Source organism: Homo sapiens, chromosome 10 (assembly GCF_000001405.40).
Source record: "Homo sapiens chromosome 10, GRCh38.p14 Primary Assembly".
Classification (NCBI taxonomy): domain Eukaryota; kingdom Metazoa; phylum Chordata; class Mammalia; order Primates; family Hominidae; genus Homo; species Homo sapiens.
Window position 1 is genome coordinate 120,454,256 of NC_000010.11, and position 12,735 is coordinate 120,466,990.

Here is a 12,735-nt window from a genome sequence, read left to right on the forward strand (position 1 = left end):
TGGTGTGTAGCAATTCCCTGTAAGGAAATGCTTTTGAAAGAGCCATCTGAAGAGGGTACATGCTCCCTCAAGGGTGAATGCCTTTTCAGTGGCAGGATTTGCACCCTGCACTGGATGAGCACTTGGGGGAGATAATGGAGAATAAATTCCAGCAAAATGGGGGGTTTTATTGGGCACTTCTTTCGATCTATGTGTTTCAGAGTCTCTTAATGACCATGAAGTGAAGTTACATGCCCCTTCTGACTCCCTCTCTGGGTATCTCTATACAAATACGAAGTGATAAACTGAATATTCTCTCTGTGACCCTGGTAACAGACCCTGGTGGGCAGGATTGTCACGACTACGTCTCCTCCACCAACCTAACCTCGGGTGGTTTCTCTGCTCTGTCAGACAGGGTAACTCCTTTTGCCCTCCAAAACCACTTCCACCTTCTGCTCCTTGCACCTACTTTCTTGCCCCTACCAAGAATTTCTCCCCCTTATTTTTTTCTTTCTTTGCCTTACAAAAGCCAGCTCATTTTTTTTTCCTTTTCTTTTTTTTCTTTTTTTTTCAGATGGAGTCTCACTTTGTCGCCCAGGCTGGAGTGCAGTGGCGTGATCTCGGGCTCACTGCAACCTCCACCTCCCGGGTTCAAGCGATTCTCCTGCCTCATCCTCCTGAGTAGCCAGGACTACAGGCATGCGCCACCATGCCCAGCTAATTTTTGTATCTTGAGTAGAGATGGGGTTTCACCCTGTTGGCCAGGATGGTGTCGATCTCTTGACCTCATGATCCTCCTGCCTCGGGCTCCCAAAGTGCTGGGATTACAGACATGAGCCATCGCGCCTGGTCCAAAAGCCAGCTCCTTTCCGTGAGGCTGTGTCCTCAGGCTATCTCAGACTGATGATGTGGTTCCAACTTCTGACCTCTGAGCGATCCAGATTTCTGAAGCATGTGTTTGTGACTTATTAATACTGCTTTGCATACTTCCCTGATGTCTCCTTGTGGTCTATCAGCTCCCCATCTTCTTGAAGGCAGAGACAGATTATGAATCGTCTCACCCAGCACACAACTTTGCACAGGCTGTACTCAAACTCAGCAGATGCTTATAGGTAAGTGGTGCCCCAATGTCAGGGGCTATTGTCAGAATGCCCTGCTGGAATATGGCCACCTGACAATCTCAGACCGAGATCATCAGTGTTCACTAGGCTGCCTATGGGCTCTCCTACAGCACTTTGCCAATCCGTGGGAGTTGTTATGTCCAAGGTAGTTGCTGGGCCCAAGATACAGAGGAGACAGAAGCATACCTCCTCCCTCCAAGACCTTCCTACCTTACCTGCACCTGACACCCCATGTGCCTGATGATATATACGTGTATATATATATCATATATATAGCCATATATAATATATATGAATGAATATATCATATATATAGCCATATATATATATATATATGTATGAATAAATATTTATTCATTTACTAAGTACCAACCAGGTATCCACAGTGTGCCGGGCACTGGGCATAGAGTGATGAGGAATGCAGATACAGCTCCTGCCTGTGGTGCCTCAGGGCTGGAGTCCCTCCCACACAGAGCCTGGGTTGTTCCTACTCCCTCTGCCTCTCTCTCTCTAGACCCTGAGATATCTGGGCTCAGGTATCTCTGATCTGCACGTGTTTCCTTTGGAGGTAGGGTCTGTTTGCCCTTTGCTGATGCCAAGGGCTTCCTCCTAAGTTCTTTCTACCTGCTCCCCCTTTTATCCAGGACTGAGCCATAGCTCCTTAGTCCCAGGAACCACCTTCTAATCCGTGTCCTCTGCTCACACAATTTTGGCTGGGTCTCTCCTAAAATCCAAGAGAGGCCTGGGCTCCCCAGGAACAACCTAATGGTTATAATCACTGTGTGTTTTGCATTTTAAATGTCTGCTTGGTTTAAATTAGTGAAGCCAAGAAGTCAAAATTCTAAGAAAAGTAAATAAAATTCTGACCGGTTTGGGAAAAGCAAATCCAAGCTCCTGCTGGGCTCCAGCTGGAGGTCGTGACCCCTAGGCTGCGAGGGTTGGGCTTTTGGCTCTTAACCTGAGGATGAGGCTCTGGGTTCTACCTGCTGCCTGGCTGACGGCTGGTTGAATGCTGTGTCAGCGACGAGCGACCCTGACTTCCCACACACCGGCCAGGCCAGGGACGGTGGCAGGAGCTTTTTCATATTCCACAGTTCAGCAGCCCCAAGCTGCTGGGGGCGGAGGACAGGTGGTGGGGGAGAGAGGATTCGGTCCCCAGGGGCCACCTGGCGCTGGTGGCATGGCGGGGAGCCAGGCTTGCCTTTGCCCTCTCTCTGTGCCGGAGCCCTGGACCCTGGCTGGCATCTCCTGAGAGCAAAGCGAAGCCCGCGAGTGATCTCTGGGGAACTTCCTAGAAAAAAGAAAGAATTTCAGGTTCGAACGGTGTAGGGAGGGCCGAACACGGGAGCAAGGTTGGCCAGGGCTGCCCTGAGCCCTGGAGAATCCCCAGAGCGATCGTCCACTACATGCCCACGTGCGTGCGTGTGCCAGGGAGCGAGAGCCCGGACAGCGGGAGTCGGAGGCAGGACCAGGAGCTGCAGAGGGGCCGCGGGCAGAGCCCCAGCGAGCGCGCTGCCCTGGCGCGGAGCCCAGGGGCCGCCCACTGGCGGGGGAGGCGGGGAGCGCGCAGGGAGGCGGCGGCGGCGGTGGGGCTTCCCCGGGCTTCCCCTCCCCGGTCCGCGGGTGCCCGGCGCGGGCCCAGGAGGCGGAGGCGGCTCCTGGGGAGAGGGATCCGGGAGTCCCTGAGGCGGCCCCGGCTCCGCACTAGGAGGCGGGGTCCGCAGTATCGCCAGCGGCCGGCGCGGCTTCCCGGAGCCCCGGAGCCCGAGGCGCGAGGTTTAGGCTGAGCCCTCCCCGGCGCCTGCCCCCGCCCGGCGCCCGCCTCCGCCCCCGCCCGCGGCCTGGAGCGCGCCTCCCTCGCCTCCCAGGGTCTGGCGAGCCGGCGCCGGCCGAGCTGCGGGAGCCGCGGAGAGCACCAGCTGACGCCGCGGGAGCTGCTCCGGCCGCACCATGCGGGAGCTGGCCATTGAGATCGGGGTGCGAGCCCTGCTCTTCGGAGTCTTCGTGTAAGTAGTGGCGCACCGCGGGCAGGGCGCACTGACGCGGGGGAACAACCGACCAAGCCTCTCTGTGCCCTAACTTAGTTTGCGCAGCCGCTTCCCACTGGGGCCTGGGTTCGAGGTCCCTTCCCCGCCAAGTGCCCGCAACGTGTCCTACGGGACCAAGAGAGACCCTTCCTCTCTCCTTCCTGGGACCCTAGGCGCGGAGCGACCACCGCGCGCCGAGGCTGAGACCTGCTCCCGGGTCTCACCGGGCCCGCGCCTGTCGCCAGCCCCGCACCACCTGCCCGGGGGATCCAGGGCTGCACCTCTAAACAGGGACGCGCACCCTGGCCCGTGCCCTCGGGAAGTTTCTCCTTCTGTGTGATCTTTGAGGCCCACGTTGGAAGTCTTTACCCCTGGCCCCGTCTCCGATTCCTCCCCGCTGTGCCCAGGGCCAGACTCCTTCCGTGTCCCTGGCTTTAGCGCCCGCGGTCCTGGCGAGCGTTTTCCCAGCGGGCGTTTGCGGCGCTTCTCCTACTGAGAAACTGTTGCTGTGGAGGCTTGAGAAGTCAAGGGGCTGCAGGCCGGGGTGGGATACACACACCCTGGAGCTCTGTGCCCGGTCGATGTCCGCTTTGGGGGCGGAGGCCCTCCAGGGGTAGCCGTGAAATGCCCAGGGTGGCTTTGAGCGGCTGGCACTGAGAACAGCGATCCCGAAAAGAAGAAGGGGTGGTGGCGCAGGTTCTTTCAGAGATGCCTGAGCCTCCTCCGTGCGCCCAGGGACCCACCGCTCATTGACTTCCAGGGCCCAAGCTGCAGGGAGCTGTCACATCTCTCTTTCAGACCTGAGCCCAGAACACCAGCTCAGAGCCACCCCGCAGCCTCCCGTGAGCTGCTGTCACCTAGGCACCCACACCTGCACTGGTCCCTCCATCAGTGAGCCAAATTCTCTCCCCCTCTCTGCCCATGGATGTTTTCTGCCACATTCTAAGTATTAAAGTTACATGAACTTTTTGGATTTGCCATGCATTTATTTATTTGTTTGTTTTTGTTTTCGTTTCTGGAAAAGCCCTCCCGAGCCAAACAGGAGGCCCTCTTTGAATTTCTGCCTCAATCTGGAGTCATCCATGGCAGGTGTGCTGTGTCAAAGATGACTTCTGTTCTGGGCAGCCCAGGGGATACACATGGAAAGAAATGCCCTTTCTTGCATGTTTTTCTTTAGCAGGGATTAAATTCATCCAGAGTATTTATTCACACCATCAGAAAAGGCCATGAGCTCCCCCAGATGCAAGCAAGCCCCCCTCTCCCGCCTTCTGCCCGAACACTGGTGTTATTCACTGGGAAGAAGGAACGAGAACTTCAGTTGGATTTTGATGCATTTGGAAAAACAAAACACTCTTCCCTTCTCCTACTCTATTTTCTACCTTTGGAATGTACGTTAAAACTAATGATTGCTGTGTGATCAGATGGGGACAGTTTCTAATTGGCAGATGGGCTAAAACCTCATTAAATTATTATGTGATAGAAATGATAAACTAGTTTTCAGTGCACAGTAGAATTTAACATTTGTTGGGTGAATGTAGGAAGAATGCTGAGATAAAGTGAGATAGGCTCTTACACTATCTCACTATCTGGTTTGACTGCTGCTGGGGGTGCTCAGATAAAAAAGGGTCCAACAATATGTAAAAATATTTATAGTTTTCAGGTGTCCCTTCCAATATCCCCCCCAAATATTTATGAGATGTTTACAGATATACAATGGTCTATGCAGTAAATTTGAAAACTTGGTAATTATTGCTTATGCGCGTCTTGCTTTTTCTAAGGGTGTCATGTAAAAGCTGGACAGGCAGTTTATGTTCTGTTCTCTGAAGTTCCCTCTTGTGTTACTTAATAGGGGATCTGTTGTCACACATGGACATTGATAGCATTTTTGGATGACTCCCAGGTTTCTTATCAAGTTGTTAACAGTGTGTCCAACTTGTGGCTCTTTTACCTGCAAAAACCAGCTTTGGTATTGATGCGAGCCTCCCTAGGGGGCAGATCTTGGATGTTCAGATGCTGTTAGTATCAGGCATGTACCGACTTCTGGGAGGACGGCTGGGAGCATGCAGAAACAGATGACCCTTTGTTTTCTCAGATAAGCGTCTGGCACCTTGACAGAGGCTGACTTTTGGGGGAAGTTTAATTCTTCCTTTTGCCAGTACTGGAAATGATGGCAATATTGGGTTGTACCTACCTCTGCTCACGAAGATGGTGGTCTTAGCAGCACAGGGGTTTAGAAAGTGCCCCTGGGCAGGCTGAATCCGATTTCCCTGCTTCAGCCAGTGTAGCTCAGCAGCTAGTTTTGCTTGGTATTTCTACCCTATTGCTCAGGATGAAAGAATTATCTGCGGGGAGAGGGGGTATCTTGCTTCTTTGCAAACTTATGCCCCCGGAGAAACATCACCTGTAGATGTGCCTGTTCTCTGACTACATTTGCTCTGCATGAGAGCAGGGATCCTGTTACCCGTAGCCCATATGCTCCTCAAAGATTCCAAGTGAGAGCTAAGAAAATGCATTTTGGGCCCACGGGTAGTAGGGATGCAAGCTTTTCCTTACTGACTCTTAAAGATCCCTTTTTCTGTTTCTAGACTAGGCACAGTGCTGAGGTTTTGTGCATTCAGAATTCTGAGAGGTTGCTCTCCAGGCACCCCCGCTCCCGCAACCAACCCGTAGATGCTCAGTCCTGCCTAAGGACTTCAAATCGCTGGGAAGGAAATTAGTAGAGTAATGCAAATCAAGGCTGGCATATAAAGTTTAACATAACAGAAGATAAATTGGTTACAGGAACCCAGTGTTTAGGAAAAATAAAAGTAAAATGTGAAGCTTTGAGGCTGTGTTTAGTACCATGAAGTGTGTAGGCCTTGAGGTCCTATTGCTCTTACTCATGGATTGTGGGCAGAGCAGGAAGGAGAAGCACTTTTGGGCTTCTTCTGTCCTGCTGCTACCCAAGACTCCAGGAGAGATTCTTTTGAGTATTTCTGCAAATGCCAAGGCTAGCAACAGACCTTACTCAGCAAGCACATAGTGTAGAAATGAGATGGCTGGTTAACACCCAGCAGACCAATGGTGCACTACTAGAAGCATGCTACTCACTTTGACCACTATCACCAGTACAATAGCAATCATTTACTGAGATCTTACTGTGTGTCAGGCACCAATGAAGACTATCCCGTATGCCATTTAGCCTGATGAAGGGGGTATATTGATATTTCTTTGTCATAGATGAAGAAACTGAAGCACAGTAAAATTAAGGAACTTCCCAAGTAACAGGGCTAACAAGGGCAGCTCTGAGATCTAAATCTAGATGCTCCATCTGCAAGGTCTGGACTCTCAATCACTTTGCTTCATAAAAAATAGCAGCCAGTTTTGGTCAGTCCAGGGCTAACTTCATGCAAAAGGTATTCCATGTGATTTCTCTTTTAAGCCTCATCTCACTGGATTCTGTTCATTATTCCCACTTTACAAACAAAGAAACCAAGGTTTAGAAAGGTTGAGTAAGTTGCCTGAAGTCACTCAGCTAGCAGGAGGTATAACCCTGATTCAAACAGGCAGCTGACCCCATGTCCCTGAGTGGTCAGCCTCTGAGACAGAAGACATCCAGCCCCAGGCTTCCAGACTGGTGCTAAACTGACCACATCCTGTGAGCAATTCCTTCCATGACTCCTTATCTCCAGAAGAGCAAGTACACATTGCCTGGAGTGATGTGTGGGAAGCTGTCACTGTAGCTCTAAAATCTCATGCTAGGATGACACCTCAAAGGTGGAGGGATGGCAGCAGTGGTTCACACTTCCTAAAAGATGGGATTTGATCATGGCATAGATTTTAAGAGTACGATGTGGTGAGTAAATTGCCGGTGAGAACATCAATTGTAGTAGTAAGAAACTAGGAATACACTGCTTTCTTCCACCGTTTTTGGCTGTCATCTCCCAGGACATCTGTTAGTTCAAGCACTCTGTATTTACAAGATTGCAGAAAGGACCCTAGAAAGATGATGACGATCTCATGTGCTGGACGGGGGGAAAGATGGTCTGTCTGTTTCACTTGTAGGCTTGAGTTCCTTGGCGTCTTATCTTCCTCTTTCCTTCCTTCCATCTGCCCTTCTCCCTATCCCTCCCTGTCATTTCTGGTGGCTCTCTGTCTGCAGGGTCCCCCTAGGAGCTGCTTAGGATGCCAGGGTGCACAGGTAATGGTGTTTACCTCCCCTTAGATAATCCAGCATCCTTCTTTGAGCTCTTAGGATGCAAGAGGCCTTTGCCAGGCACAGGGGATGAGAGGAGAGAAGGCCAGGTGGCCCCCAGTACCTTACAGTCCAGTAGGGAAAGTACACAGTGGGCCACCATTTGTTATTGTCTCCAATGCAATTACTGGCTTTGAAAATTTTGCCTCCAAACATTTCTCTTTCATTGTTCATCCACTTGATGGATATTTGGCACCTTCTAGGTGCAAGCATTTGTGATAGTCATTTCCTTTTCCCTTCATTGGTACGCTTTGATTGGTGTAATTCCAGCAAGACAGAGGGAAACTTGGTGCTTTACCTGGTCCAGGTGACTTGCTTGAGGGCACTGGATGTCAGGTAGATTTTTGAAATATCGACAAAAACAGACTCATCTTTACTACCTCTAAGAGCCCAGTGTAAGACTCCATGCTGGGGACAGTTGGAGCAAGGTGCTAGGTTTCACTGAGAAGGAGGATGCATGTGCCAGGGAAGGCTGCCCAGGGCTGAGCACCGAATGCCAGGTGTACAGGTCCTAGGCCCAAGGACATTCCTGCAGGGCAAAGGCCTGGAGGTGTGGAGGCATATTTTGGGTGGAGATGAGGTCACCAAGTGTGGCCTCAGTGTGGGCTTTGGGGTGGGTGGGTGTGGGAGTGGCAGGAAGGGAGCCTGGAAGGAGAACGCAAGTGGCCTCAGGGCCCTGCAGGGCAGGGGTCATTCCCACAGAGGCAAAACTGGGGGGGCCTGGAGGTTTGAAACAAAACTGTACCATGCTCAGATGTTTGCCCAGGGGTGGAAAGGAACCATTTGGCCAGACACACAGGCCCTGCAGACTGTGATGTGTGACTGCACACTGCTTCGTGGCCGCAGCCCTGCTTCACAGCTCCCCAGGACAAGTACTGTCTGCACTGCGTTGTGGTCAGCCATCTGCATCTTTAACTTCTTTGCTTTCCCCTGCTCCCAGCCTAGCCTTGGCACAAGCATGGTCGGTGCCTCCTGACTCAGTTTCCCAGGATCATTTTTACAGACCTAAGCATTCTGCATCAGTCCAAAGCAAAGCTACTGAAGGGGCGGACGGCCTGCTGAACACCTGCGTCAGGATTACACGGGGCCCAGGTCAGGCTAACTGAATTAAAATAGAGATCGAGGCCCGCAGAATCTGCATTTTGAACAGGGGCTCCTTCCATCCGCTGCCTTTGGGAAATACTTATGTGCAGTCTAGCGAATGGATGGCAGCACCGCAGGGTGGAGGCAGCAGGCGGTGGCCCTGTAGAACCCTGTCACTAGAGTGGCCTTTGTAAGAGGGAGGGGGACTTTTTGTGTTAAGTGAAGTTTTGGGGTTGATTGGCTACTCTACCATCAGTCCTTTCTATGTAATGAATACATTCAGAATCATTCTGCTTGCTCTCTAGAAACAAGTTTCTTTCTTTTTTTTTTTTTTTTTTTTTTGAGACGGAGTCTCACTCTGTCACCCAGCCTGGAATGAGTGCAATGGTGCGATCTCGGCTCACTGCAAGCTCCGCCTCCTGGGTTCATGCCATTCTCCTGCCTCAGCCTCCCAGTAGCTGGGACTACAGGTGCCCGCCACCACGCCTGGCTAATTTTTTGTATTTTTAGTAGAGACGTAGTTTCACCATGTTAGCCAGGATGGTCTCGATCTCCTGACCTCGTGATCTGCCCACCTTGGCCTCCCAAAGTGCTGGGATTACAGGCGTGAGCCACCGTGCCCGGCCTAGAAACAAGTTTCAAATGAGTTGTTTGAAGCAAAGAGCTATAACAAAAGACCTCGGGCTTTGGAGCCAGACAGGTCTGTGTTTGGGTTTCAGCTCTGCCACTAACTAACAATTGCCTTCAATCTCTGAACCTCAGTTTCTTCATGTAGGAAATGGAGCTAATACTTACTTCACTGGATTTTATTAGATAAGATTAGATAAGGTACTTTAAGTGCCTGTGGTACATATAACAAAAATTGGTAACTTCTCGCCACCCTTGTTAATCCCTATTGCATACATGTAGTGTCTAAGAATGGCAGCACAGCACAGTGGTTACAACTGTGGCCTTTGGCGTCAGGTTACCAGGGCTTAAATCCTATTTTGTTTTGTTTTATTTTGAAGACAGAGTCTCTCTCTGTTGCCCAGGCTGGAGTGCAGTGGCACAACCATAGCTATTCTCCTCAGCTCCAGCCATCTCCTTGGGCCCTGCTCTTACAGGCCCCAGAGGATTCTTTTTTTTTGTATATATAGATAGAGTCTTGCTCTGTCGCCCAGGCTGGAGTGCAGTGGCATGATCACCACTTACTGCAGCCTCAACCTCCCAGGCTCAAGCAATCCTCCCACCTCAGCCTCTCGAGTAGCTGGGACAATAGGTGTGCCATCGCAGCCAGCTATTTTATTTTTTGAAGAGATGGGGTCTACATTGCCTATGCTGGTCTTGAACTGCTGGGCTCACAAGATCCTCCCACTTTGGCCTCCCAGAGTGCTGGGATTATAGGTGTGAACCATTGTGCCTAACCAAATCCTGGTTTGCAACTTACCTGCTGTGTGAGTTTTGGGAGAAAGTATTTATCCATCTTCAGTCATTGTTCCTCCTTCTGTTCAATGGGAATGTCCGTCATATTCATGAATGTAAGAATATGTTAAAAACATATTGTATTGAAGTATAAGTTTGAACCATATTAAGCATATTTTGTTGAAGTATTGTGAGTATTAAATGGGACAGTATCCAGCTCATTGTAGGTGCTCAGCAAATGGTGATGTTATTATTATTATCCTTTTGTTGAAATGAATCCATAATATACACTAAAGAGAAACACCATAGGTGTCTAATGATGTTCTTATTACAAATGATTTACCACAGGATTTCTAGACAAGAATAAACTCCTGGAAGTGTATTTCTAATGATTCCTTTTAGGCCTCAAAAGTGAGGGATGTACCTTGCCATGAGTTTGTCCGATGAGTCGGAACCCCAGATCTTGCTGTCTGATGGGGTGGGCTGGTCTCAGCCTTGCAGTTTCTCAGCAGTGGCTTAAATTGCTGGCCCTTTGCAACAGTGGTTCCAGGACATCGAATTGAAGCGCTCTCAGCATAGCTGCATTAGATAACATACTAGAAAATGCTATGTTGTGTTCTTAGATAACATAACATAAGGAAAATGCTATGTCCCCGTTGTGAACTTTGCACACAGGGCTCAATTAGAAGCCACATCCAGGGAGTGCTTTTCATCAGGCACCCTCTCAGCCCATCTGTGCATGCTGTGCAATGGGGCCCGAGTGTTTCTTCTCCCCTCCCTGGGAAGGCGTCTGCCTTGTTTGATAAATGGGGCATCCTTCTGTTTGAAATACTACTTGCCACTGTAAAATGAGTTGGCTGTACCCAGAATTCTGAGAATGGATGTTTTCCCACAGGGAGATAAATGCTCCCGGCACTGCAAAAGAAGCATATGGTTTCATAACTTGTGGATAAAGGTATCTCAATTAGTTGTAAAGAATATGCCTTTTGTGACACATGCAAGGCTCATAAAAGCTCACTACCTCTATTTTTCAATGATAGCATTTGTAAATAGAAACATTATCTTGGTAATAGTGCTTCTTTAAAAAATATTATCTTGCTGTTCTATGTGGATGAATTAGAAACACTGTTTTTACAGTGAGGAAGCTCCTTCAGACAAGACTGCTGCCTGCCAGTGGGCCCTTGTCGTCATTCAACCAGAAGCTTCAGAGGTGTTAAGAGCAAGGTTTGGGATGCCTGGGGCGAGTGAGAGGAGGCTGAGAGGACCTGGGGCTGCAGAACCCAGGGGCAGCTTCATCACAGTCTCTCAATATGTGAATGTGAAACATTATCCCACAGAAAGGAGGAACTAGTTGTTATTCTATCTCCACTAAAGACAAAGCAGCAGAAAAACAGGGCCAGAGGAGGCAGGAGCATTTAGGTTGGTTTCTAGAAAGGTAGCAGTCTGCCAGTCAAAGCTAGATGTTTCTTTCTTCTTTACCAGAGGGTTTTTAAAAACATATTTTATTGAAGTATTAGTTTGAACCATATGAAATTGCTGATATTTGAGTGTTTTGACCTATAAAACTGGGAATTTCATTCAGTTCAACCTAAAATAACATACACAAAGAAATGTGCACTATTCATAATTGTACAGCTGTCCAGAAAACTACCCGATCTACCAAGCCCCCTTCCACCACCCTGACTTCTAACATCATTTGAATTCTATAGAAATGGAACCATAAAGTTTGTGTTCTTTTGTGTGACTTTTTTGTTGAATGTGTTTTTGAGATTTATCTCTTTTGTTGTGGGTAGCGGCAGTTTGTTCGTTCTCGTGTGCTCCAATTCATTTATTCATTTTACCCACGGATATATGGGATATTTATCATTTTTGGCTATTAAGTGCAATGCTGCTATTGGTTTTTGGTGAACATCTTATAATTTCTTGTAGGTATATACATACGGGTGGAACTGCTGGGTTCTTCATCAGAAGTTCTTAAGGAAGGATTTGGCCTCTCTGTCCAGCTATACCTCTAAAAGCAATATTTAGCCTGTATGATGCTGTAATCTCCATCTGCTGAGCAGCTACCTTGTAGAAAGCATGTAATGGGCCTGGCAAGTGACAGGGCCTGGCAAATGGGTCCCATTCTGCAGGCAGATGGGCAGCATGGCCCACTTCTGATGAAAAACCCAGCAGTTGCACCCCTACGTATATATGTACAAGAAATTACAAATAGGTTCACCAAAAACCAATAGCAGCATTGCACTTAATAGCCAAAAGTGATAAATATCCCATATATCCATGGGTAAAATGAATAAATAAATTGGAGCACACGAGAATGAACCAACTGCTGCTACCCACAACAACAGAGATAAATCTCAAAAACGTATTCAACAAAAAAAGTCACGTGAAAGAGCACACGCTTTACGGCTCCATTTCTCTAGAGTTCAGTGATGTTAGAAGTCAGGGTGGTGGAAGGGGGCTTGGCAGACTGGGGAGTTTTCTGGGCAGCTGTATAATTATGAACAGTGCACATTTCTTTGTGTATGCTATTTTTAGGTTGAACTGAATGACATTCCCAGTTTTATAGGTCAAAACACTCAAATCATGCTGAAGAAGTGACACCCTGACTTTGCTGATTTTAGAGACGCACCTGAGCCTCCTCGTCTGTTAAACGGGTACACTCTCTCACCTCCTAGGGAGCTTGTAAAGATGAGGTGATGTAAGCTGTGCCAGGTACCTTGCACAAAGATGGCATGTGTTAGGTGCTAAAGCCAGTCTCTTTTCCTTCCTCCACCTCCCTCCTTCCTAGAACTGAGGTGGAGATACAGGTCAATGAAAAGATGCCTGACATCACAGTGTAATAATAATGACAATGAAATAGTGTAGTTCTCAAAAGTGCAGCAAAGAG

General features: G+C 48.9%; 1 protein-coding gene across 10 annotated transcripts in view; it reads left to right on the forward strand.

Moving 5' to 3' along the window:
• The first annotated feature begins 2,698 nt into the window (after positions 1-2,698).
• PLPP4 (phospholipid phosphatase 4) overlaps positions 2,699-12,735 on the forward strand; it is a 135,112-nt gene continuing 125,075 nt past the window's right edge. For 9 of the 10 annotated variants that reach the window (XM_011539444.4, NM_001030059.3, XM_005269592.3 and 6 more), the window contains exon 1: positions 2,972-3,106. Coding sequence is in view for 8 of the 10 variants with exons in the window: in NM_001030059.3 (NP_001025230.1) it covers positions 3,051-3,106 (56 nt within the window). In the remaining 2 variants the exon portion in view is untranslated. Of the gene's footprint in view, positions 2,877-2,971; positions 3,107-12,735 lie in introns of those variants that run through there. The other variant, NR_134516.1, reaches the window with a different exon arrangement.